The following is a 27578-nucleotide window of genomic DNA, read 5'->3' as shown; positions in this document are numbered from 1 at the left end:
TTCAGAAACCGAGGGAGCACCAGGAAGGTCAGAGAAGTGACCTTTGTATACTCCTTCTCTTGTAGTATCCATCAAGTCCCAAGTTACACCTGCAATTAGCCCTATGTAAATATAGAAGAAATGCCTCAAGCTAGAACCACAGATATCAAATCCTATTTCTCAAACTTGTATAGACAATAAAAATTTCCAACTAACCAAGTCATAGGTCTGGGTGGCCCAATATGCCCTACTGAATGTGTTTGTATTTCTGGGTCCTCAGAGCAACTAAATGTTTCTACATTATTTCAAGAACCTTGTCAACTATCCAACACTTGGTACTGTAAAAAATAAAGAAACACAATATTTAAAATAAAAATCACACTAGATTTGATATCAGAAGCCCTAGTAGTGAGTTCTGGCTCTCCTAACAACTATCTCTAAGACAGCAAGCTTCAATTTCCTCATCTGCAAAATGGAGATAATAATACATATGTCGTGAAGTTTTATGAACATTATATATGACAGTGCAGAAACTGCAGTACAACTTGGAAAATAACATACAAAGCAAGCTGTTTAATGACATAGTATAGGCAGGTGTTTGTAAAAATGAATTAATGATTCCTTAGTTCTCTATAAAAACTGAAAAGTAAACGTGACAAAACTGAATCATCTTTTCAAGTTTAAGGAAGCTTCAGGACTTTCTTTGCATGCTATGCTCACTGTCATAGTGGAGAGCCAACACCAAAAAGCAGCTTGTGCCAAAATACATTTATCTGTGAAAACTATACCTATCATTGTATTCTTTTATTTTATTCTATTAATATGAAAATATACCATGTAGGCTGGGCACAGTGGCTCATACCTGTAATCCCAGCACTTTGAGAGGTCAAGGTGGGCGGATCACCTGAGCCTGACGTCAGGAGTTCAAGACCAGCCTGGCCAACATGGTGAAACCCCGTCTCTACTAAGAAAAAAAAAAATTAGCTGGGTATGGTGGCATGCGCCTGTAGTCCCAGCTACTCGGAAGGCTGAGGCACAAGAATCATTTGAACCTAGGAGGCGGAGGTTGCAGTAGGCTGAGATTGCACCACTGCACTCCAGTCTGGGCAACAGAGTGAGATTCCATCTCAAAAAAAGAAAGAAAATATATTATGTATACAGTGGAATTCATGATACCAAAATCAGATAAAGTCATTACAAGAAACGAAACCAACAGGCCAGTGTTCCTAATGAGTAGAAATTTTAAACTTCTAAACAAGCTTTTAACAAATCAAAATGCAATATATGAAAGTAATACATTATGATGAAGTGGGATTTAGCCAAAGAATACAAGGTTCATTTAACATTCAAAGCTCAAGTACTGTCATTCACCATATTAACCAATTAAAAAAGAAAAACTGTATGATTATCTCAATGGATGCTGAAATAACATTCGGCAAAAACCTACATTTACCCTTAATAAAATTTTCAGCAAACTCAGAATAGAAGGGAATTTCTTCAACCTGAGAAGGGGTATCTATGAAAAACCTGCAGCAAACATCATGTTTAATGTTAAAAGACTGAATGGTTTCTTCCTAAAATCAAAAAACTGGCAAGGATTCCCAACCTCATTACTCCAGCTAAAGATCAATTGTGTAAACACTAAGAATGCACAATATAGAAATTCAGTATAATTATAAAATGGTCTCCAAAATTCCTGCCCCCCGTTGTACAGTATTTGTATAATTGCCTCTCCTTGAATGTGGACTTGACTATCAATATGATCGGTGTCACTTCTGTGGATAATGTTACATTTACAGCAAAAGGAAATGTGAAGATGTAATTAAGATCCCAAATCAGGTCAGGTGAGGTGGCTCATGCCTGCATATCCCCGCACTTTGGGAAGCTGAGTGGGGAGGATCACTTGAACCCAGGAGTCTGGGAGCTGCCAGGGCAACACAGCAAGACTGACCCTATCTCCATAAAAAAAAATAAGAAATAAAAATTTGCCAAGCACAGTGGTACATGCCTATAGTCCTAGCTACTTGGGAGACTGAAGCAGGAAGATTGCTTGAGCCCAGGAGTTTGAGGTTGCAATGAGCTGAGATCATGCCACTGCACTCCATCCTGGGCAACAGAATGAGACTCTGCAAAAAAAAAAAAAAAAAAAAAAAAAAATCCCAGATCAGTTTTGATAATATGGGTATGGACATCATCTGGGAGGGTCTGACTTAATCAGGCAGAAACCCTTAAAAAGCATGAGTAAAATTGTTTCCTGCTGACCTCAAAGAAGATGAAAGTCACATGAGTTCTACAGCTGCCAGGAACTGAACACTGCCTGCCAGTCACCTGAATAAGTCTAGATGGGCACCCTAAGCCATAGATGACAACGCAGTGTTGGCTAATCCACTGATTGCAGCCATGTGAGCCCTAAGCAATGGATCCATCCAACCGATGCCCAGACTCCTGACCCATGGAAACTGTAAGATAATAACTGAGTGCTCTTTCAAGCTAGTAAGTTTGTGGTACTTCCTGACTCAGCAATGGAAAGCTAATATATACATCATCCAAAATACCAGCAAAAATATGAAATAATTGGAGAGAAATCTGACAAAAGATGTGAAAGACCTGTACACCGAAAGCTTGAAAACATTGCTGAGAGAAGGAGAGATATATTACCTGTATGGGTTGGAAGACTTAATTTTAGTGAGAAGCCAGTTCTCTCCAAATTCATCTATAATTTCAGCTCAATCCTAATCAACATTGCAGAAGGGTTTTTTTTGCAGATATTAACAAACTGTTTCTAACATTTACATGAAAATGCAAATGACCTAGACAAAACAATTTTGAAAAAGAAGAATAAAGTTGGAGCACTAGTACATTAAGTATCCGTGGGGGGAAGGGGGGCTCCACCCAGGAGGGAAGATGGTCTAGCCTTTAACTCTGTCCTACTGGGAAGGGAGCTAGGTGGCTGAGGGCTCTTCCATTTTGGCATTTCCATTTCTGGGGAGGGGGTTCAAAGTCACCAACACGCTGAGAGCTGTAGTTCAGAAACAGAAGTGGGGGGCCACTGTTACCACTCTGCTTAGAAACTTTATGGGTTGCCTCTCATGCAATCTGTAGCTTCAGAGCACACCTTCGATCCTGTCTCTTCCCTCAAACAGCTGTGGGCTGCCCCTCCTCACCCCCAGGGCTGGAAGGTTAGAGGAAGAATGCTATCATTTATACAGAGGGATTTAAAAAATAACAGCTTAAAAAATTACAGCTACATCAATCAAGAAAATGTATTGACATAAAAACTGTCCAATAATACAGTTAAATGGAATGGAGGGTACAGAAACAGATCTCCACATATTTGAATAACTAATTCTCAACAAAGGTGCAAAGGCAATTAGTGAAGGGGTATTCTTTTCAGCAAATGGCGCTGAAACAACTGGATATCCACATGCAAAAAAGTGAATTTTGATCTAGACCTTATACCATATTAAAAAGTAACTTTAAAATGTATCACAGATATAAATGTAAAACCTAAAACTATAAAGCCAAAAGAAAACATGACAGAAAACATTTATGACCTTGGGTTTAGCAAGGAATATTCAGTTATGACACCAAAAGCATAATTCATAAAAATGTAAATAAAGAGGCTTTATCAATATTAAAAACATCTGCTCTTCAAAAGATCCTGTTAAGAGAACTTAAAGACAAGCCACAGGCTAGAAAAAACTACTTTCAAATCCCATATATGACAATGGACTTCTAACAGAATTCATAAAGAACTCTGAAAATTCAACAATAACAAAACAATTCAATTTTTTAAAAAAAAGCAAACAAAAGATTTGAACAGACACAGACACACAGAAGAGGAATATATAAATATCACAAATAAGCACATGAAAACATGATCAACATCATTAGTCATTAATGAAATGCACATTGAAACCATAATGAGATACCACTATCTACTTGTTAGAATTGGTAAAATTAAAAATGCTGACTATATCAGTTGTTGTCCAGCTTTTGGAAGAATTAGAACTCTAATATACTGGGTGGAAATGTAAAATGATACAATCACTTTGGAAAATTGTTTGACGGTTAAATGTACATGTATTGTCTTGGTCCATTTGGGCTGCTATAACAAAATACCATGAACTAGGTAGCTTATAAACAGCAGAAACTTATTTCTCACAGTTCAGGAGGCTGGGAGTCCACAATAAAGGTGACAGATTCAATGTCTGGTGAAGACCTGCTTTGTAGCTCCTAGATGGCAACTTCTTATTGTGTACTCACATGGTAGAAGGGGCAGGGCAGTGCTCCATGACCTAATCACTCCCCAACACCTCCTCCTACTAAGACTATCACATTGGTGATTGGGTTTTGACACACAGATTTGGGGAGAACACAAACACTCATATCACAGCACCTACTAATTTATCCAGCCATTTCACTGCTAGGTATTTACCCAGAAAAAATGAAAACACATGTTCATACAAAGACTTGTACAACATTTTCATAGTAGCTCTATTTATAATACCAAAAAAATTGGAAACAACTCAGATATTTATCCACAGTTAAATGGATAAACAAACTATAGTATATAAATAAAAAGAATAAAAAGAATTAACTATTGATACATACTATAATTTAGCTGAATCTCAAAATAATTATGCTGAGTGAGAGAAACCAAATGAAAAAAAGATACACTATATTATATACAATTCTAAGAAATAAAACCTAATTTATTTGGCACCCAGATCTTCATTTCTATACCAGTTTCAAATAAAAAGTCTCAAACTTCCTTGGATAAATGGCTGATTCTACGACTGGGGCAGGAAATATACAAGATGAGTCTGATGAGTCTGTAGCATCTTGTAATACCAGAAAGTAGGAAAGTCCACACATACACACACATACACACAATACAGAGAGTGGGTCAAGGAGCACAAGAGTCAACTGAAAAAGCCCCCAGTGCCAAAAACTGGAAAAATTTGAGCAACAAAGTATTCATGAATCCATACAAAGAAAAGACTGAATAAAGAAGTAAATGGGGGAGAAGAAGCAAATCTTCCTCACAGAATTCCAAATAAATTATGTAGATACTCCACTCCAAAGGAGGGCTAGCATAACTCCCTACTCCCCCACACTTCCTTAAGTGACTCATAATGATTTCCTTCCAAAGAGTACAGAGTATGCAAAGAGGGAAAAAAGAGTAACTATGCAATGGAGAAACCTGACAAACACTACTTCAGCCAGGTGATGGAGAACAACATTAACAGTCATAAGTCATGTTGACAATATGTACCCTTCATATGATGTAATAAATACAGTACATTACCTCTTTGATTTCCACCCCGCCAAAACCCAAAACCCTAGTCTACTCATGAGGATACATCAAATCCCAATAGAAGGGCATCTTGCAATATACCTCACCAGTACTCCTAAGGACTGTCAAGGTCATCAAATACAAGGAAAATCTGAGAAACTCTCACAGCCAAGAGGAGCACAAGACATCATAACAATTAAATGTGGTGTCCTGGATGGAATCCTGGAAAGGAAAAAGGACATTAAGTGAAAATGAAGAAAATCTAAATAAACTATGAATATTAGTTAATAACAATTTATCAGTATTAGTTCATTAATTGTAACAAATGTACCCTATTAATTTAAAATGCTAACAGAGAAAATTGTACAAATGATATATGAGCATTCTCTATATTATCTGCTCAATTTTTCTGTAAATCCAAAATCGTTTCCCAAAAGTAAAATCTATTAATAAAACATCTAAAGCAAACAGACCTAAAAGGCATATGCAAATGTATAATTTAATGTTTAATAAATCAGATATAAATATTTTTAAAAACCTAATATTTGGTGACAGAAAGCAGATTAGTGGCTTGCCAGAAAGTGGTGATTAGTACTAGGGGAAGGGGATGGGACAGAACAGTATGAAGGGATTTAAAAAATGGCATGAGGAAACTTTTGGAGGCAAAGGGTATGTTTATCATTTTAGTTTCACAGGTCTAACAACAAATTATACAATTTAAATATATGCAGCTTATTATATGACAACTATATCTTGATAAAGTGGTTTTTTTCCCCAAACTATAGAAAAAATACTTCCACATTTAAATCCTCTTCTCCAAAAACAGTCTTCAGGAATATTTGAAGTTAGCCCCATCACACCTGAATTTAATCAGTGAATTTTGTTCATTCAAAGATTCATACATTTGGGAAGTTCCTGTGCCAAAAATGCTAATCACCCAGCATCAAAATTTATGGAATAATGGTGATTTAGGACATGCTGGACATCTTTATTGTTGTTTTCCCACTTCAAGATTTTCAATCTTTTGGAAACAACCTCCCCAGACATTCTGACAAGGGAATTATTATAACCAACCAAAATCAAGCCAAATATAGTTTGTCAGATTTAAAATGAGGCCAAGTGCCAATTTTACAGCAGCGACCGGAAAATCAAATTATATGGCATCTGACATTTAAAATCACACTCCTAAGAAGGCTGTCATTTGATGTCTTGGGTTTGGGTTACAGTACTTAACTTTATAATACTGGGTAACCTTGTGCCTCAGTTTTCCCAACTATGAAATTGGGATAACAGTACCTATTTTGTGAGACTGTTGAAGGATTACAGTTAACACAGGTAAAAGGCTTACAAGACTACCTGGCAATGCTGTCCTGATTTTACAAATTCTATACACTGTGTGGCATTAGCCATCAGGAAAATATAAATAAATCAGTGAGATACCACTTCACACACTTGGGGGGCTATAACAAAAAAGACAGATAAAAAATGTTGTCAAAGATGTGAAGAAACTAGGACCCTTATTCACTGCTGGTGGAAATGTAAGAAGTACAATCATTTGAACCATAGTCTGGCAGTTACTCCAAAGACCACACCTAGAGTTGCCATATGAACCAGCAATTCCACTCCTATGCATATATCCAGGAGAAAGGAAAATATACGCTGCACAAAAACTTGTACATGAATGTTCATTAGCAGGATTTTTCATGGTAGCCAAAAGGTGTAAACAACCCAAATGTCCAACAACTGATAGAGATGGATAAATAAAATGTGGTTTATCCATACAATGAAATATTATTTGTCAATAAAAAGGAGTGAAGGAGTGAAGTACTGATTCATGTGGAACATGGATGAACCTTGATCCAAAATAGCCAAATCACAGGTACAAAAAGCATATTAGTGGCTGCTGGGAGATTTAGGCGGAAATGTGGAATAACTGCTAGTGGGTATTGAGATTTTAGAGTCATACTCATGTTACAAAATTAATAGTGCTGATGGTTGCACAACTCTGAGTACATGAAAAATCAATGAACTGATACTTTGAGTGAGCTGTATGATACTGGAATTACACCTCAATAAAGCATGGTAACTGTTTTAAGATAGGCTGGAAAGAGAAAGCCTGAAAACAACAATAATGATATTAATAAATTAGTTTACTTCTCTAGTCTCATATACTTCTGTGCCCACACTTGCTCCTGTTCTATTCATAATGGTCCCCTTGCAGTTGCCATATTATATCCTGCCATTTGATGCCCGGTGAACATTCTATACCTGCTTCCCAGAATTCTCTTTACCTTTCCTCTATCTGCCTAACTTCCACATATCTAAAATTAATCAGAGTAAACTATTTACTAGAACAACCAACTCCAAATCCTAGTAACCTAACATGATAAAGGTTTGTTTCTCACTCATATAGCCCCTCCCCAGATGATCGAGGGGTCCAGGCTCCTTACCTCTAGTGGCTCCCCCACCTTCTGGAGTCTTCTGCATTCTTTATACATGGTTGAGATAAACTATGAGTCATTAGCACAGCTAGACCTTGAGGTCCTACAAGAAAATTTGCAAATCATTCACTCTGTTTTGAACAAGGTATATTTAAGATGATGTTAAAATACCCAATGGTCTTGGGTCAAATACAGTTTATGACTGTGTATCTAAAATATATATTGCAATATTCTTCCCTTTTTCTACTGACTTCATGAATTTAGCGGGGATCCATTTTATAAGCTCAAAGATAATTACTTTTCAGACTAAGAATATTTAGGGTAAAAAGTACTGTTCAACATCTCTACTGAGGATGTTATGATGTAGCACACTGTATAAGCTGGAGCTAAAGGAAACTTTCCTTAAAGTGCTATTTACTAAAAATTGGAACACATTCCTTAAGACAAATCGAAGTGTGGCACACAACATCCAAACTTCCATCATAGATACAGAGGTGTTACCATCTCCCACTCCCAAATTTCTTTGTCACGCTGAGGATACTCAAGAGGAGCAGGACATGTTGGTCGCAGCAGGAGAAACTTGAAAGCATTCACTTTTATGGAACTCATAAGGGAGAGAATCTCTTATTTAGTATCGTCCTTGATACATTTATTATTTTAAAAGATAATGTAGCCAAATGTCTTCCTCTGTGTTAAATCTTTACAAAACTGAAATCTTAAAATGGTGACAAAAATTCTACTTCTGATAGAATCTATTCATTTTTCCAATTAGATAGGGCATAATTCTTAATTTGCAAAACAAAACGTAATATGCTTATGAGGTTCCATCCCAAAGAACCTGCTATTGAGAGTAGCATTCAGAATAACGGGTGGAAATGCCAACTCCAGAGTTTCAGATCCTACCGGTAATTGGGGTAGGGAGGGGCTTTGGGCGGGGCCTCCCTAGAGGAGGAGGCGTTGTTAGAAAGCTGTCTGGCCAGTCCACAGCTGTCACTAATCGGGGTAAGCCTTGTTGTATTTGTGCGTGTGGGTGGCATTCTCAATGAGAACTAGCTTCACTTGTCATTTGAGTGAAATCTACAACCCGAGGCGGCTAGTGCTCCCGCACTACTGGGATCTGAGATCTTCGGAGATGACTGTCGCCCGCAGTACGGAGCCAGCAGAAGTCCGACCCTTCCTGGGAATGGGCTGTACCGAGAGGTCCGACTAGCCCCAGGGTTTTAGTGAGGGGGCAGTGGAACTCAGCGAGGGACTGAGAGCTTCACAGCATGCACGAGTTTGATGCCAGAGAAAAAGTCGGGAGATAAAGGAGCCGCGTGTCACTAAATTGCCGTCGCAGCCGCAGCCACTCAAGTGCCGGACTTGTGAGTACTCTGCGTCTCCAGTCCTCGGACAGAAGTTGGAGAACTCTCTTGGAGAACTCCCCGAGTTAGGAGACGAGATCTCCTAACAATTACTACTTTTTCTTGCGCTCCCCACTTGCCGCTCGCTGGGACAAACGACAGCCACAGTTCCCCTGACGACAGGATGGAGGCCAAGGGCAGGAGCTGACCAGCGCCGCCCTCCCCCGCCCCCGACCCAGGAGGTGGAGATCCCTCCGGTCCAGCCACATTCAACACCCACTTTCTCCTCCCTCTGCCCCTATATTCCCGAAACCCCCTCCTCCTTCCCTTTTCCCTCCTCCTGGAGACGGGGGAGGAGAAAAGGGGAGTCCAGTCGTCATGACTGAGCTGAAGGCAAAGGGTCCCCGGGCTCCCCACGTGGCGGGCGGCCCGCCCTCCCCCGAGGTCGGATCCCCACTGCTGTGTCGCCCAGCCGCAGGTCCGTTCCCGGGGAGCCAGACCTCGGACACCTTGCCTGAAGTTTCGGCCATACCTATCTCCCTGGACGGGCTACTCTTCCCTCGGCCCTGCCAGGGACAGGACCCCTCCGACGAAAAGACGCAGGACCAGCAGTCGCTGTCGGACGTGGAGGGCGCATATTCCAGAGCTGAAGCTACAAGGGGTGCTGGAGGCAGCAGTTCTAGTCCCCCAGAAAAGGACAGCGGACTGCTGGACAGTGTCTTGGACACTCTGTTGGCGCCCTCAGGTCCCGGGCAGAGCCAACCCAGCCCTCCCGCCTGCGAGGTCACCAGCTCTTGGTGCCTGTTTGGCCCCGAACTTCCCGAAGATCCACCGGCTGCCCCCGCCACCCAGCGGGTGTTGTCCCCGCTCATGAGCCGGTCCGGGTGCAAGGTTGGAGACAGCTCCGGGACGGCAGCTGCCCATAAAGTGCTGCCCCGGGGCCTGTCACCAGCCCGGCAGCTGCTGCTCCCGGCCTCTGAGAGCCCTCACTGGTCCGGGGCCCCAGTGAAGCCGTCTCCGCAGGCCGCTGCGGTGGAGGTTGAGGAGGAGGATGGCTCTGAGTCCGAGGAGTCTGCGGGTCCGCTTCTGAAGGGCAAACCTCGGGCTCTGGGTGGCGCGGCGGCTGGAGGAGGAGCCGCGGCTGTCCCGCCGGGGGCGGCAGCAGGAGGCGTCGCCCTGGTCCCCAAGGAAGATTCCCGCTTCTCAGCGCCCAGGGTCGCCCTGGTGGAGCAGGACGCGCCGATGGCGCCCGGGCGCTCCCCGCTGGCCACCACGGTGATGGATTTCATCCACGTGCCTATCCTGCCTCTCAATCACGCCTTATTGGCAGCCCGCACTCGGCAGCTGCTGGAAGACGAAAGTTACGACGGCGGGGCCGGGGCTGCCAGCGCCTTTGCCCCGCCGCGGAGTTCACCCTGTGCCTCGTCCACCCCGGTCGCTGTAGGCGACTTCCCCGACTGCGCGTACCCGCCCGACGCCGAGCCCAAGGACGACGCGTACCCTCTCTATAGCGACTTCCAGCCGCCCGCTCTAAAGATAAAGGAGGAGGAGGAAGGCGCGGAGGCCTCCGCGCGCTCCCCGCGTTCCTACCTTGTGGCCGGTGCCAACCCCGCAGCCTTCCCGGATTTCCCGTTGGGGCCACCGCCCCCGCTGCCGCCGCGAGCGACCCCATCCAGACCCGGGGAAGCGGCGGTGACGGCCGCACCCGCCAGTGCCTCAGTCTCGTCTGCGTCCTCCTCGGGGTCGACCCTGGAGTGCATCCTGTACAAAGCGGAGGGCGCGCCGCCCCAGCAGGGCCCGTTCGCGCCGCCGCCCTGCAAGGCGCCGGGCGCGAGCGGCTGCCTGCTCCCGCGGGACGGCCTGCCCTCCACCTCCGCCTCTGCCGCCGCCGCCGGGGCGGCCCCCGCGCTCTACCCTGCACTCGGCCTCAACGGGCTCCCGCAGCTCGGCTACCAGGCCGCCGTGCTCAAGGAGGGCCTGCCGCAGGTCTACCCGCCCTATCTCAACTACCTGAGGTGAGGGCCCGGGACGGGGCACGCCCAGCGCGTCCGGGAGTAGCGGTTCCGTTGGCGGCGGCGGCCGCCAACCCTCAGCCCCAGCCCCAGCGCACCGCTGCGCTCCCCGGGGCGGCCGGAGAGGGTGGGCAGCGGGACACAGCACAGGGGCAGTTGCCTCCCTTCTTCTTCCCTCCTCTCCTCACTCTTGGGGACACGAAGGTGGGCGCAGAATATACTATTTTTGGGGCGTGCCTCCCTGAAAGCTGTTTTTTTGTTTGTTTTTTAACTTTCCGAATCTTCCAGATTCCGAAGCAGAACCAACCCCGATTTAAAACGTGCAGCGTCACACTAGGTCCGCTGTAGCCCAGTGGGGCAGAAAGTGCGCGGCGAGTTGGGGGCTTTATGAAATGCTTCTTTCTTAGAAGAAGGACGTTTACCAGGAGTGCTTGTCTTGGAGAGGAGTTAAGGCACCGTTCCCCCGGGAGGGGTGGGACTTGAGAGGTGGCCGGCCAGAACCGAAAGCAGCACCATCTTAGGGATTTGAACACTTCAGTGGCTCAGTTTTCTTAAGAATCTCAAGATTAAAATTAAGTTCACGTGGGAAATGTTTAAACTGTGGATTTAAACGCCTGTCACTGCATTGCACCGTTTTCTTATTATTGCTTGCTATTCACTACAATTTTTTTTATATACAGGTTTAAAAAACACTACTTTGCATACTGAAGTAATGGAATGTAAAAAAAGAATGCTCTGTTTGGAATCTTATGTTGTGAATAGGCAAAACAGTGTCAGTGTATTGGACAATACTTTAAAATGACAAACATATACTTGCTTAAGTAAGCAATGATTACAGGGTTGTGTTTTAAAAACTCAAAACCAAAACATTGCAAAGTACCATCGAACTTTTAAAGCCAAACCATATTTGTTTTGACCCAGCATACAGACAGGAAGGACATAACATTTCATTTGTCAAAGACTAAATTGTTTCTATATAAAGAGTTTTGTAGAAAGATTTCCTTTTAACCGACTTTAACTTTCTAGGACATAATATTATACACTAATTATTGTTCTTTTATATTGGTGCTACTGATGAATGGCTAATCATTTGCAAGTATGGTGAATCCAGTTACGGATAGTCTATTACCAAGTTTAGTTTGCATGTCTTTCAAGTGTATATATACAGTTCTGTTTTTAAAATCTCCTTTCACCCTGTTAATACTGGTTTAAGAAACCTTTAGTATTAGATAGTGGTGCACTTAAAAATAAATGGAGTACTTTGTTTTGCATTTCAAGGCCGGATTCAGAAGCCAGCCAGAGCCCACAATACAGCTTCGAGTCATTACCTCAGAAGATTTGTTTAATCTGTGGGGATGAAGCATCAGGCTGTCATTATGGTGTCCTTACCTGTGGGAGCTGTAAGGTCTTCTTTAAGAGGGCAATGGAAGGTAGGCTCCTTTCCCCTGATCCTTTATTATTGGTTTAATTGTAAATGGAGACCATCTAATATTGTATAGATTTCAATTATTCCTTGTTTCTTATAAGAAATGGTGATATTTCCATATAATTTAAAATATATGATGACATTTTAACAATATGTTTTTATTTATGATACTCAAAATGGAATGTGGTTGGGTACTATAATTGCATACTCTTTGACTAACACTTTCAGTATTAGACATAAGTCATAAAAATCTTGAGGACAGTGCTACTATTGTTCCTTAACTGCTTAGCTTTGAGGAAACAGCTTTGTTCTAATAGTACTTTTATATATCTATTATGTAGGTATATGTGTATGCAGTACTTTAAAATTTTGATTAAAAGAAAAATGGTAGTTGACACATATGTACATGTATGCGTATACATATTTGTACATACACGAACATATATCACAACATGTATATGATGCAGTTTTCTACATGATACTGTCTTTTGACTACATGAATATTTATGTAATATTTACAAAGAAGTAATTCTAAACAAATTTTTGAATTCTCTTTTTGTTCAGTATATTTTTGTAAGTGTATAAGAGGACAGGATTAAACAGTTTAAAATAAAAAACCTGGACATCACAGTAACATAATTTCTAAAGAAGTATTTTGCTTTAAGTAAAACTTTCATGTTTTTAAACTCATTGAACTTACATGCTTAATGATTTCAGATTTACTTGCATAGTGTTTCAGATTTTAACTTTCAAAGAAAATATTTTTGAATTTCTTTCTACCTAAAGTCTAAGCAGCCAAACATCTTTACATTTGAAGATAAAAATACATTGAAAGATTTCATATTTTAATACCAGCAATAAATGTATTCTATAACTATGTAAAATGAAGCTTAGGATTCCCTCTGGAGTGCTGAGATCACACCTAGACAAGGAACCAAGGATCTGAATGTTGGCTTTTTGTTTCCTGTTCTGAGGATTTTTGTTTGTTTGTTTGTTTCAACAGCCCTCTCCTTACAAGCAGAAAAGCAGGTAGTAGGAAATTTCACTTTAAGGGAGCTTTCAAAGGAGTTCTTCATAACAAATATTTGCTTTGTATATTTTTAGAACATGATTTTTTCTCACAAAAGATGAATGTATTTTACTGATGTTGAACATATTCAGCTTTAGGGGGTTTGATTGCATTTTAAACTAATTGAGGCAGTGTTAAAAGTGGTACTTGAGAAAATAGGGCAACTGATAGTGGCTCTTACCCATTGACATTATTTATTTACAGTTACAGTTGGAAGTTCTTTGTGTGGAAAAGTCAGTTTTCCAATGGGTAATTGGAGTTACCATTTTTATCTGACTTTGGTTCTGGTTTCTTAAACATTGCCTTCTGCATTAATATGATTTCCTCTCTTCTTAAAGTCTCCTAAGGATAGTATAATTTTATAAGTGAATGACTCCCTTAGAATCCTCTTAAGCCCAATTTGTCCTACCCCAGCTCCTTCTTTTGAAAGATAAGCAAATCTCAAAGACATAAATATGAGTTTCCAAAGGTCACAAAACTAGTTAGTAGCTGATTGTTAGTAAACATAGGTTAAATATTTTTACATTGCAGCGCTTGTAAATCAGAGATGATATGCAAAAGTAGATATATAAACTGTTTGATTCACAGAAGTTATTTCATAAAGTGCATATATAGAACAAAGAGCACCCTAACTAAAATACAAATGCTTTCTCGTCATTTTGTTAGAATAGCATCCAAAACTGTAGACGAAGTCTTTCCAAATGTACTCTTAGAAAGCATTTGTTGGACTCCGGCTGTTGGCATGGTCCTATAGTCTTGAGTACTAGAAGTGAAGCACCTTTATTTAGCAGTAATTACAAAGAGTTACTTAAGATTGATGCAGATAAATCATTCATGAAACTAGAACAAGATTATGAACTACATTAGTAAGTTCCTTCATTCAGCAATTTATGCCAAAGATACACTTTCCCTGACTTCACTTTTCTCTGCCTTGAGATAAAATGAGGATAACAGTGGCTATTTCTTAGGGTTGCTATAAAGATTAAATGAGCTGATACTTGTAAAGTATGTAAAAGAAGGCCTGACATATTATCAGTTTCCATTGACATTTCTACTTTCAAGGAACTTGTAATATAGTTAGGGAGGTAACATATGCACATAAAACATCTAAATAAAGATTCTCAGTAAATGCCCAAGTAAGCAATTCTGTAATGTATATGAGATCTGTGTGGTTTGTGAGTTTTTGTATTTGGACAGAGCGAGGTGGTTATGGGTTGAAATATGTATATTCTTGAATGATGAAGAAGTCTACATGGAAGATATGAACATTTGATTAGTAAAGGACAAATAAGCTTTCTAGGCATTGAGGAGAGCTTTAAGTGTATACAGTCAAAGAAGAGTGAAGAAATTAAGATTACACTGACTAAGCATTGAATGTTCACATTAGGAAATTGAGAGAGTTAAAGTTTGAGAAACTAGATTGCTAGTGTTTGGGTGAATTTGGAGAATCGGTAATTTAAGGCAAGAGAATATAGAGAATGTTCTAGGAGTTTTCAGGAATGAGAAAGATAAGTAGAAGGACTTATATCAGGTTCAAAATCTTCAATAAAGCAATGCTGCGTGATGAGCTGGTTCAAGGTGGCGCTGTGTGTGGATGCCAATATGGCCAGAAGTTTAAAGTAAACAGGCAACAATATGGATACTAATGTTGCCAAGGATGAGAATGAAAATGATGGCATTATAAAATGCTTTCTCTGTGCCAGTGACTATTTCAGTGCTTTGCAGGTCTTAACTTATTTAGTTGTTATAATGTTGGTATTATTATTATTACTCCCACTTTACAAATGAGGAAACTAAGACCTGTAGATGTTAAGCTGTCTTAATACGCTTAGGAAATGGTAAAGTCAGGATTCAAATCCAGGTGGTATGAATCCAGAATCCCGGCCCTTGACCACTGTGCTTCCTTTCTCATAATAGGAAATGCAGTCAAAGAAAAACAATAGAGGGTTAGAAGAAAAGATGTGAGCCAAGTGATGAAACATCTAGGAAGGTAAAAGTGAATCCTAAAGGAGAATGCAAGAGCAGGGGTAATGAGAAGTGTGTGATATAAAAGGATGGATCATATTAACTTCACATTTAGGGCAGCAATAAGAAGACATAAGCAGGAGCCAACAGCCAGTTTCTTCACCTCCCTCCCATGTTAGGAGAGGGAGGTGATAAAGCCTATAAAGTCATTCTGGATGACTGGGTTTCCCTGGATATGAGACAGAAGAGAGAAGAGATAAAGAAATAAGATACCACTCAGGAAATGGGAGAAAGGAGTTGGGAAAAATGATTTCTTTTAAGCTAATTGAACTGTTTAGGATATAGTATTGGCCAAAAACCAGTTGGTTGGATAGCCCATTGCATTCCTTTACCAAGACTTGTAGGTTTGGAGTGAACCATGAAAGGACCAGGAATTGACTTAATGCCTTCCAAAGAGAGGAAGTAATCATGACCTGCCAGTCCTACAAATGCAGACTACTAACCTGGTATGATGAAGGAAAGGACTATTTCTCAATGGCTTATCTTTGCCAGTACACAGTAACCAGCCCAGTGCTAGGAATATACTAGGCATCCAGTAGATAACTGCTACATGATCCAGTCATCATAACTGATAACGCCACACTTTTATTTTTTGGATGCTTTACTCAGTGACAGCATTTGTTGTGAATACATTTGGTGTAATATCATTAAACACATGTTATAATACAATTGAAATGTATTACTTAGAAGACACTAAGCTAAGTAGGTATTGAAGGATTTTCAATTGTATTGCATATTATGCTCACTTTTTTTTTTTTTTTTTTGAGACGGAGTCTCGCTGTTGCCCATGCTGGAGTGCAGTGGTGTGATCTCGGCTCACTGCAAGCTCCGCCTCCCGGGTTCATGCCATTCTCCTGCCTTAGCCTCCCGAGTAGCTGGGACTACGGGTGCCCCCCACCACGCCTGGCTAATTTTTTGTATTTTTTAGTAGAGATGGGGTTTCACCATGGTCTCAATCTCCTAACCTCATGATCCGCCTGCCTCGGCCTCCCAAAGTGCTGGGATTACAGGCGTGAGCCACCACACCTGGCCTGTCCTCATTCTTTTATTCATATATTAATTGTTCATGAAGTAATTACCTTAATTACATTAGTTCATGTATTTATTGAGTACCTGCCATGCGCCAGGCACTATGTTAGGTACTGGTGAAACCACAGTAAAACGAGAGACCTTGCTGGCTGTTGACTAAAGTTTATAGTGTGGTGGTGGAGAGAGACATTTTACCTATTTGTGTACACATGACTAATTGCACATGTGGTAAGTGATTCGTTTATGCAATGTTTGGACAACTAGAGAATTGACCCCTCTGTCAGATAATGGGGAAAGTTTTTCAGACCTAGACATCACAATAAATAGACTGCAGAGGAAACTAGACAGAAATGAAATACTTTTATGAATAAAGTGTTTCTTTCAAAAGTTGGGTATACTTGGTGTCATAGGCTAGTAATGAAAACTGGTTTGGTAGCATAGTTCTCCTTGATACAGCATCAGAAAGAGAAAGATTGAACATCCAATTTTTCATCAGCAACTTCTGTGATTTATTTGTTCTATATTTAGAGCTCTGTAATGCTTTCTCCATCTTTTGTAGTGCACAGATCATCCAGCAATCTCTTCTACTATAATCTATTTGAATTTGAATAATATTTGGGCTCTGAGAAGATATTTTGCCAATAATCTTATTTATATTCATTTAATCTCCAATAGAGTCTGCTCTATAGCAGCTTTCACATTACCCTAAAAATAAATATGTAGTAATTCACTAGATTTTATTTCAAAACTCTATATCCAATTTCTTTTCAAGCTGAGGTCTCTCAGTTTACTATTTAGCATGGATAATGATAGACTGGTTTTAAGCACCACTTTACATTAGGGTTCATTGAAATCTCTACTGTACTGAAAAAGAAATGGTTAAAAAGATAGCATTTGGTGTCATCTGTTCATATTTGGTTATTTAGAGCTCCCAGATTTTTAATACTCTTTCAGAACATGTACTTTAATACCACTACAAGAGCCAGAGGAGAAGCAGTGGTATTAGCCATGCGTGCTAGTGCTAATAACTGCTCCTGTTCTGGCCACTGAATCATTGTACTTTAATTACTCAAGTAACACAAAAATCCATCTCCTTTAAAAAATGAAAATGTTATCAATAAGGCTTAAGTCCTCTTGATCAATACCTCTAATCTGTTCCCTTGCCTACCATCTTTCTATACCTCTACCTCAGTTTTTCCCATGTGTATGTGTGTGTGGAATATGTTCTCTGGGGTATGTTAATATATAAATGGTATTATATATCATAATTTATGCATCATGTTATTTTGATACAAAAATGACTTGAAGCTCTATTGTTCATATATGTAGTTCCAACTTGTTTTTTTAACCACTGCTTAATATTTCATAATATGAAAAATCATTATATTTAGGAATTACTAATTACACTATTACTTGAGTAAACCCTTTTTGTACATTTCTCCTTTGGTACATGTCTTGCTTCTCTTTCCAGAATATATTGAAGTATTTTGATACAGTTCTAAATGAACTAGATGATTAGCTTTCTACCTGCTGCTAAGATGATTTGATTCACTAATTTATTCACTTCAGATACATGTATTGATCCTACATTTAAAAGTTGCTTGTGCTGGGACTGAAGATGAAAATGTATGCAGACCCTGTCTTTGACATGCACAAAACCAAGAAGAAGAAAACAAAACAGAACAAACCTGTGGTACAACTAGTGAACATGAGAATACCTTGATACAAGTTATGCCAGAGCCGTGGCCAACACACCGTAGTATTCAGTTAGACACATGGAGAAGAATGGCAGTTTATTCTGCTAACATATCTTGATGTTGTGCAAGAGGCTTATTCATTTAATAGTCACTTAAGTCGCCTTCACTATAACCCAGGCACTGTTTTAACTGCTTCACTGGATTAGCTCAATTAATCCTTGTAAGAGTCCTTTGAGGTGGAGGTTCTGTTAGTATCTATATTTTACAGATGGGTGTAAAGAGAGGTTTCTACTATTCAGGAGGTCTGACTCTAACTTCTGTATCTTAAATTCCTGCTTCTGTGCTGTTTTCCTAGACTGTTTTGTATTTGAGCAAATATTAATTACTTTATACTTTTTCAGATAAATACATGGTCTCTTATAGGAGACTGGTTTTCAAATTGTGCTCCTTAACTCAGTCAAGTTCCTTCTTCTATTCAGAACAGCTCTGTATTTCTTTATTTGGTTTATATTTCCACTTGAGATTTTTATTGGGACAAAGGATTCTCAGCCAACCTTTTTTTAAAAAGCACTCCTTTATAACAGGAAACCCTTAGATCTCAATCAAGTATTTATTCGAGTGACTCCTAAGAAGTTTTTTGGCTCTATTTGCTGGTATCTTTTTGGCATTTGTGCAAAGACGAGATGACCATTTGTGATCAAGATTTAAAGTCCAACTGCTCACTCTTCTAACAGCATGGCCACATTATTAGCCGAAAATCACATCTGAGTTATAGAGCTTTTGCTTTTGTCAGAAAAAAAACAAAGTAACTCCAGGGAATCTTTTATCAGTCACTTCTTTAAAGGATTGATTGAAATAATTGACACTTAAGACAGACACTCAAAAATAGGCACACTAATCATTTACACAAGGGATTTCCAACCCCTAGGATGTGGACTGGTACCACAGCCAGTCCATGGTCCGGTGCGGGCCCATGGCCTGTTAGGAAGTGGGCCACAAAGCAGGAGGTGAGCAGTGGCCAAGCGAGAATTACAGACTGAGCTCCGCCTCCCTGTCACATCAGCAGCAGCCTTAGATTCTCATAAGAGTGAGAACCCTATTGTGAATTCTGCATGCAAGGGATCTAGGTTGCGCACTTCTTATGAGAATCTAATACCTGATGATCTGTGGTAGAACAATTTCATCCAGAAACCATCCCACACCATCCATGGAAAAATTGTATTCCACAAAACTGGTCCCTGATACCAAAAAGGTTGAGGACTGCTGGTTTACATCTTGGTTTTTAAACTCCATTGTCATTTAAGAACATCAGAAAGTCACATACTCTGTATATCTTCCCTATCTACCTAATTTGAGGAGAGGCCGATGAACACAATATCCTTCTTGTGGCTAGATGGCCCTCATATAATTAACTATATAATGCATACTTCATATAATCTATCATCAAGACATTTTTTTCTCCTCTGATGAGATATTATGCTTTTTAATAAGTGATATGTAAATAGCCTATTGGGTTTTCCTTTTTATTTTAACTCCTGCAAAACAAGTACATTTTAATGCTCAATTTTAAAAAATTAACAGGTTTTGAGCTTTATTTTTAACTGCTACTACAGCGTCTTGTGTTGTGTACTTTATATGACATTTTAAGGAATCATAACTTTTTTCTTAAAGCATAGTATTTACTAGTAATCATTATTTCTTTAGGAAAAAAATGCAAATACTTTTCATGCTATTTACTCTTCTATAACCAAGTGATTTATTTATGAGATAGAATACACATGTAGTGAGTATGGACCGTGAGCTCAAAACAGTGCTGTAGCATTTGTACGAAATATAAAAATTAAAGGGTAAAAATAATGGTTATCATTTATTGAGTGTTTACTAAATTCAGGTACTCTTCTAATGTCTCTTTGTTTACTAACTCATTTAACTCTTGCAACAAACCTATGAGACAGGTTCTATTTTTCTCATTTTACAGATAAGATTTGTTCAGTTAGTCAACAGTAGAGCAGAACTCCACTCCTGGAGTCAATGCCCTTAACTTCCACTGGATATTCCTTTGCAGGAAAAGATACAGTCTTTGATTTCAAGGAGCCTGCAGTGTGTGTGTGGAAGTGAGTGATTAACAGACAACACTGCAAATTTAGTGTTTGATTAAATTGTGTGTTGCAGACTTAGGGTGCTATAAGTGAACTAGAGAGGAAAGTACCAAGAGTTGTCATTACTGATTGCCTATATATAATAGAAACCATGCTAAATGCTTTATATTTAATATTTCTATTCTTCACAACAATCCTAAAAAGTAGAATTTACCATTTCCACTTCATATGTAAGCAAAGACTCAGAAGTTAGTTAACTTACCCCAATTAATAGTAGTACTGGCAGAGATGTGTCTGCAGTAGTTAGAAAAGGTAGTTTATTGAGCTAGTAAGATTTATTCAAAGCCTTTAAAAACAGAGACAGTAATTAAGAAACGTTTATTTTTGATAGTTTTTTTAATATAATAATATTGTGACTCCTGGCGTATTATACACAAGAAAAATTTCAGGTGGGTCAACAACTTAATTTTTTTTTTATTTGAAGAAAAGAAACCTAAAAGTATGGAAAGATGATGGAGGTATGTATTTATAGTCTTGGGATGGAAAACTTTCTAAATTTGATATAAAATCCAGAATTCAAAAACAAATTTGCTCCATTTGCTATGTAATCTCAAATTTCTTATATAAGGCAAAAAATTCATAAAGTCAAAGACAACAACAAATTAGGAAACTGTAACATATATGTAAATCAAAAGGAAATTATTACCCATATACAAAATATTCTTACAAATCAAGAAAAAGACAAACAGGAAGAAAAATGAACAAAAAATATTAAGACAGTTCACAAAGTACAGCCCACAGAAGTATGAAGAAGGCTCAACTCACTAATAAGCATTACTGATTAAAATAATAATGGGAATTTCAGCAATTTGAGTACTGGAATAATAATGAATAACAAATAATGACCATTGGAGAATCTGAAGATAGTTTGGTATTGTCAATTAAAATATGCGTTACTTTGGCCCAACAATTCTACTTCTAGAAACTCATCCTTACAGAACTCTAGAATACCTGTAGGTGGATGTTTATTGCAGTATTACATTATTTATAATACTGAGAAACTGAATACAGCCCAAATGTCTGTTAAAAAGAGATTAGCAAATTGTGGTATACCCTTGCAATGAAAAGAGTGAGTTAGCTGTCTATACTACAGATGTCAAGAAGTCTCTAAAATATTTGATTTTATGAAAAAGCAAGGAACAATATCATTCTGGGTAAAAAATTGTACCCATTTGATCTTGCTAGGTATAGAGAGCTATCTAAAAGAAAATAACTAAGTGCTTACTGTCAGGATGAGAGACTTCCAATTTCTGATGACATGTTTTGGTCTTTTTTTTTTTTTTTTTTTTTTTGAGGTGGAATCTAGCTCTGTCACCCAGCCTGGAGTGCAGTGGTTTGACCTCAGCTCACTGCAACCTGTGCCTCCCTGGTTCAAGTGATTCTCCTGCCTCAGCCTCCCGAATAGCTGGGATTACAGGTGCCCACCACCATGCCCAGCTAATTTTTTTATTTTTAGTAGAGACAGGGTTTCACCGTGTTGACCAGATTGGTCTCGAACTCCTGACCTCAGGTGATCCTCCCGCCTTGGCCTCCCAAAGTGTTGGGATTACAGGCATGAGCCACTGCACCCAGCTTCATTCTTTAAGCAAGTATTTACTGAAGGGGCTGCAATTACACACCAACTTGGTGCCTGACTTTCCTCCACACTGGCCCCGCCTAGTCTCAGCTAGCCTCTGCTGCCCTAATGGTGTCCAGTGACCATATGTGCCACTTTTCACCTTCAGGTACCCTAGAATGTTGAAAGAGACTAACAAAGAATGAAACTTGAAGAATATTGAAGCAAAAGCTTGAGGTTACTCTGTATCATGAATTAAGGAATCCTTCCTGACTAGATGGAGCCAAGAATGGACACAGGCCCACAATTCCTCACACACAATCTCAATATTCAAAAAGCACTGCAAACAAAAATTTTGTTGTAGTCACTTGTCAACAATACCTAACCTGACGTGAATTTGTTTGGCAGCAAAATCTGATCTGAAATCACATGAGGAAATCTTGTAGTCTATGTAAATATTCGTACATTTTGCTGCATAAATATAATGTTTTATTAAGTGTTGCTCTATTTTATCTTTCTAAAATACAAACAATTTTGAATTTTGAAACACAATTGGCCCAATACATTTCAGCTAAGAGATTTTGGACATGTACTCAGAAATGATTTATAGACTATGTTGAGAGTGGTGCCTGCTGGCTTTTTGCAATGTAGCAGCCCTGAAAATTTTTATAAACAATTCTTATCATTTATTCTTATCTTTTTTTTTTGAGAGGGAGTCCCCGCTCTGTAGCCCAGGCTGAAGTGCAGTGGCACAATCTCAGCTCACTGCACTCTGCCTCCTGGGTTCAAGCGATTCTCCTGCCTCAGCCTCCCGAGTAGCTGGGATTACAGGCATGTACCACCACACACACTAATTTTTGTAGTTTTAGTAGAGATGGGGTTTCACCATGTTGGCCAGGTTGCTCTTGAACTCCTGACCTGAAGTGATCCTCCCACCTTGGCATCCCAAAGTGCTGGGATTACAGGCGTGAGCAACAGCGCCCAGCCTATTCTTATCATTTTTAATAAATTCTTAGTACCATGCTGGGTTCTACAGGGAGCTATAAAAGATAAATAAGCCATATTACCTAACTTCATATAGTTTTCGTTCAATCATGGAGTTTATCCCATATTCAAGTATAATATAGGTAATATATAAATCAAATGTGTTTTTGATTTCAAGGGGAAAAAGATCATATTTAGCTAGGGAGACCAAAATGTGTTTTTATGGAAAGGATAGCATGCTAGATGGGCTGCTGAGAATGCATGAAATTTTTGATAGCAAGAATTGTAATGGCTTTTGTAAACAAAAACTACAGACTGAGCAGAAGGACAATTTGGCTAAAGCATGGAACATGGTCAGAATCCCTTACGATTATATATAAATTATTTGTGTTTTTTCTAGGATAATTCTTTTCATGAGGTTTTGAAAGAGATCAGTGACCCCTTATTCCCACCCCCAAAAAAGTTAGCTTACCACTGCTTTAAAGGAATGGTGAGGATTATTATAAAACAGAAGGTCAAGAAAATGTGGAATGCACAATGGGGTGTTTACAATTAATTGAGTAAAGAGTGAGAAGCCCCTAAATATTTTTTGGGCAGTGTAGTGGCATATTTTAATATTTAAGAAAATTAGTATATCAGCAGTATATTGGAAAGATTAATGTCAGAAAGGTAAGGGACAAGGAAAACAGTCTGGGGATGGTGCACTAAGGACCTGAGCCAGGGTTGTGGAGAGAGGAATGGGTTCAATGGGTAGATTGGAACCAATTGAGAAGGGTGATGAAAGCGACACAGAGAATTGTGGGGGTGGGGGACGTCACCTTCAGAAATAGGAAGTACATGATCATTTTACTCAGTAAAGGAGTGATGTTGAAAGTAGTATTTAGGAAGGATTATCCTAAAAGCACCATGCAGAATATATTTGTACAGAGATTAGATAGCTTGAAGTCAGAGAGAACAGCTAGGAAACTGGTAACACAGATTCTGAGAAGTAGTTTAATTTCAAATTGTTTGTATTATATTCTACATAATGTCCTCAGCAGGATATTGAAATAATATAATTTTTGTGCACAAAATAACTTATGAGAATTGAGATGTTCTGGTTTGTCACTTCATTTAGTCGTCTGCTTATTTATTAATTTATACCAAAAATAATGCCGTTTTGTGCCTGGATTTGTGTTAAATATTGAGACTCAAAAATGGATGAGCCAAGTTCATAACTTAGGAGAAAGGCACATAAACACGTTGCAGAAATGCAGTCTGGTAATATCTATGAGAGGTGTGAGCTGAGAATTGTGGAAGTATAGGACAGGAAGATCTAACCCTGGTGTTTAAATGCGGGGTATGGAAGGAGAAAGTCTGAATCCTGACTAAGTATTAGACTAAAAATATTAAATCTTAAAAATTATTGTAATTTCAAAGTTTGTGGCAACTTTTTTGTAATTAACAGTGGAGACCACAATGGTTTATCTTCTTTAAGCAGAGCACTTCAGTGAGTGTTTCTTTGTGCAAAGGCCCATCCAGAGGCCACTTTGGATGGGGGGGCGGATGAAAGTATGAAGAACTGAACCTCTCTATGTACTATTTTAATAGAAATTAGGGAATTGTAGGCTAGCAGCTGGGGCAAGGAGTAGGAAATAGAAAGGGCCTAACAACTGAGTAGGAAGCAAGGGCTCAAGGAGAGTAGATGCCTGTGAGAATTTCCCTATTGCAGGCAACAATCCATAAATCCCTAGGCTGGTAGTGCCTGATAGCAAACTTGGAATTGTTTACTATCTCATGTTTTAATTACCTCCAGCTACCTCCCAACCCTTAAGTAAATTTTTGCTGTTTACATTTTCCTTTATAAAAGGATATGCATTTCAGATTGCTGACCTTTCCTATGATGACAAGTGTCTCAGTAGTATGATACTTAGAAGATATATAGGCCGGGTGCAATGGCTCACGCCTGTAATCCCAGCACTCTGGAAGGCCGAGGTGGGCAGATCACGAGGTCAGGAGATCGTGACCATCCTGGCTAACACGGTGAAAGAAACCCCGTCTCTACTAAAAATACAAAAAAAAAAAATAGCCAGGCATGGTGGTGGGTGCCTGTAGTCCCAGCTACTCAGGAGGCTGAGGCAGGAGAATGGCATGAACCTAGGAGGTGGAGCTTACAGTGAGTGGAGATCACACCACTGCACTCCAGCCTGGGTGACAGAGCAAGACTCTGGGAAAAAAAAAAAGAAGATATTTAGCAGAAGGTACAGTTAATCTGCCCCTTCAAGTTAAAGATAATGTTCATGATAGAAAAAAGGAGGTAACTTCTGTTTGAAAGACACTGTTGTTTTGTAGATAGCATTTTGAAAACAAGTCTTTGGGGATGATTCCACTGTTATTTGATTTTGTTGTGAAGGTATTATAAGAGATCAAAATTTTATAGTTTCATACATAAACATTTTGAAATAAGATTTTCTAACTTGCTAAAAAATCTTCCAAAAAAATTCAGTTAGGTTCTGAACACATTTCATAATAGTGGCATTTATTGAACACATATGTCAGGAACTTGGCTAAATGTGTTATATTAAACACAAAGATTTTAAATCACTTGCACAGATAAATAGTAAATAAAATGGTAGAGCTGAGATTGGAACCCACAGAACCTTCTCTCTTATTTGTTAATATTACCTCTTATTCATTATCTAGTGTCTCTTTGTCCTAAGTATTTGTAATGAAAATTGATTGACATCAGGGAGAGTAGATACTTGCTAGCTGAATTTCTGGGGTAAAAGAAGCTTTTCATAACTGGTATGTGGAATTGAAAGTGAATATTATGACTAGATAATCTGCCCTGCAGACAGTCCCCTCATTCTCCATGGCTTCTGGGATGGCTGTCTTCCACCTTCTCTTCTCAGCCTGCCAGCACTCCCCTGTCCTCACTTTCAGCTAACAGCCTTGCTTCCTAATTTTCGGAAAAAAACTTTCTGAAATTGCTACCACCATCTGTATGGACAGAAGTGGCCTCTGAACTATAATCCCATTTTTCTGGGGTTACCAGAGCTCTGCAGTTCTCAAGTCCAGCCCTCTCTCCTTGACCACTAGATCCAGATTACTCCTGCTGACTCAAGGACAGGCTCTACCAATCCTCCCGCAACATTTAAATCATTTTTCCCCTTCTCTACTGGATAATTCCTGTCAGCCTACAACATGCTCTTCCTTTTCTCATCTTAAAATATAAACAAACTACTTTTGTTGATTTCACTTACTCTTCAGCCACCAATCATTTTTCTTCTTTTACAGCAAAACTCTTCTAACACATTTTCTTCTCCCATTCACTCTTAAACCTAACCCAATCAGTTGTTGACCTCTGTCACTCCACCAAAACTTCTCTTGTCAAGGTTACCATGTTACTAAATCTTATGGGCAATTGTCAGTCCCATGTTACTTGACTCATTGGTAGCATTTGACAATTGATCACTCCACCTTCCTGCAAATACTTTATTCGCTTGGTTTTCAAGACACGACCCTCTCTTGATTTTCCTCACTAGCTCCCCTTCAAACTGTTCTTCTCCTTTAGCTTTTAATATGAGAGGGTCCAGTGCTGAGTATTCTGAGTATTTGGTCCTCTTCCCTTCTGTTTATATACTTACTTCCTTGGTTATCTAATCCAGTCTCCAAACTGTGGATAAACCACCCAAAATCCAATCACTTCCAAATTTCTATCTCCAGCCCAGACCTTTCCCCTGAACTCCAGACTGAATATCTCAAACCAACACATCCCAAAGTTGGCTCCTGATCTACTTAGGGTTTTCTCTGGTAAGCCAGTGTTCTTTTGGTCCTCAAGCTATCTGCCTCAGAATCACCTGGGTACTGGTTTGAGATGATTTCTGCACCTCGCCCCAGGTAAGCCAAGTCAAAATATCTAAGAAAGGGACCCAGAAATGGCATTTCAGCTAGCTGTTTGGTTGTTTCTTAAAGTTCTGCTTGGCTCAGAGGGGAGCCAGATACAAAGCTGAGAGGTGAAATGGTTGGCTTTGTTTTTGAGAACATTAACTCTAGAAGCAATGGGGAATAGAGGCAGAAGGTCATGCCAGGGAGATCAGACCTAAGATTATTTAAAATACTCTTTGATCGAGATCTGGGGGCCTTCAGTCTTATGCTGAGAAAACACTACTTTTCATTCCCTAAAGCAGTGAACCTGAAATATAGAAGGCAGGCAGGCTGTGGCCCCTACCAAGAATGCTCCTTTCTCTAGGAAGAATTCTAAAAAATGTGAGAGGCTAGGGAGGGAGGTTGGAGACTTCCACTTTTTGTGTCCTTACTATATACCAGGCACTATAGTAGACACATTATATGTATTTGTTATAGGCATACCTTAGAGATATCGCAGGTTCTGTTCTAGACAACTACAATAAAGCAAATATTGCAATAAAGCAAGTCACACAAATTTTTTGCTTTCTGGTATCTAAAAAAGTTATGTTTACACTATACTGCAGTCTGTTAAGTGTGCAGTAGCTTTATGTCTAAATAAACAATGTACATACCCTGATTGAAAATACTTTATTGCTAAAATTGCTAATGATC

The 27578-nt window shown here is 39.5% G+C and overlaps 1 protein-coding gene and 1 non-coding gene across 10 annotated transcripts in view; one reads left to right on the top strand and one right to left on the bottom strand.

The window, feature by feature from the left end:
• Nucleotides 1-9434, bottom strand: part of PGR-AS1 (PGR antisense RNA 1) — a 30194-nt gene extending 20760 nt beyond the window's left edge. Inside the window, exons 1-3 of the transcript NR_073144.1 lie at nucleotides 8623-9434; nucleotides 7729-7822; nucleotides 5386-5500 (exon numbers count right to left, since the gene is read on the bottom strand). This is a non-coding gene — a non-coding RNA (PGR antisense RNA 1). The remainder of the gene's footprint in view (nucleotides 1-5385; nucleotides 5501-7728; nucleotides 7823-8622) is intronic.
• The window catches only part of PGR (progesterone receptor), a 100190-nt gene continuing 81309 nt past the window's right edge, over nucleotides 8698-27578 (top strand). For 3 of the 9 annotated variants that reach the window (NR_073142.3, NR_073143.3, NR_073141.3), the window contains exons 1-2: nucleotides 9434-11077; nucleotides 12353-12504. Coding sequence is in view for 6 of the 9 variants with exons in the window: in XM_011542869.3 (XP_011541171.1) it covers nucleotides 9441-11077; nucleotides 12353-12504; nucleotides 18193-18239 (1836 nt within the window). In the remaining 3 variants the exon portion in view is untranslated. Of the gene's footprint in view, nucleotides 11078-12352; nucleotides 12505-18192; nucleotides 22764-27578 lie in introns of those variants that run through there. The other 6 variants (NM_000926.4, XM_006718858.4, NM_001271161.2 and 3 more) reach the window with 4 other exon arrangements.

The sequence above is a fragment of the Homo sapiens genome, chromosome 11, assembly GCF_000001405.40.
Source record: "Homo sapiens chromosome 11, GRCh38.p14 Primary Assembly".
NCBI classification, from domain to species: Eukaryota; Metazoa; Chordata; class Mammalia; order Primates; family Hominidae; genus Homo; species Homo sapiens.
This window is presented reverse-complemented; position numbering and strand designations above follow the sequence as displayed.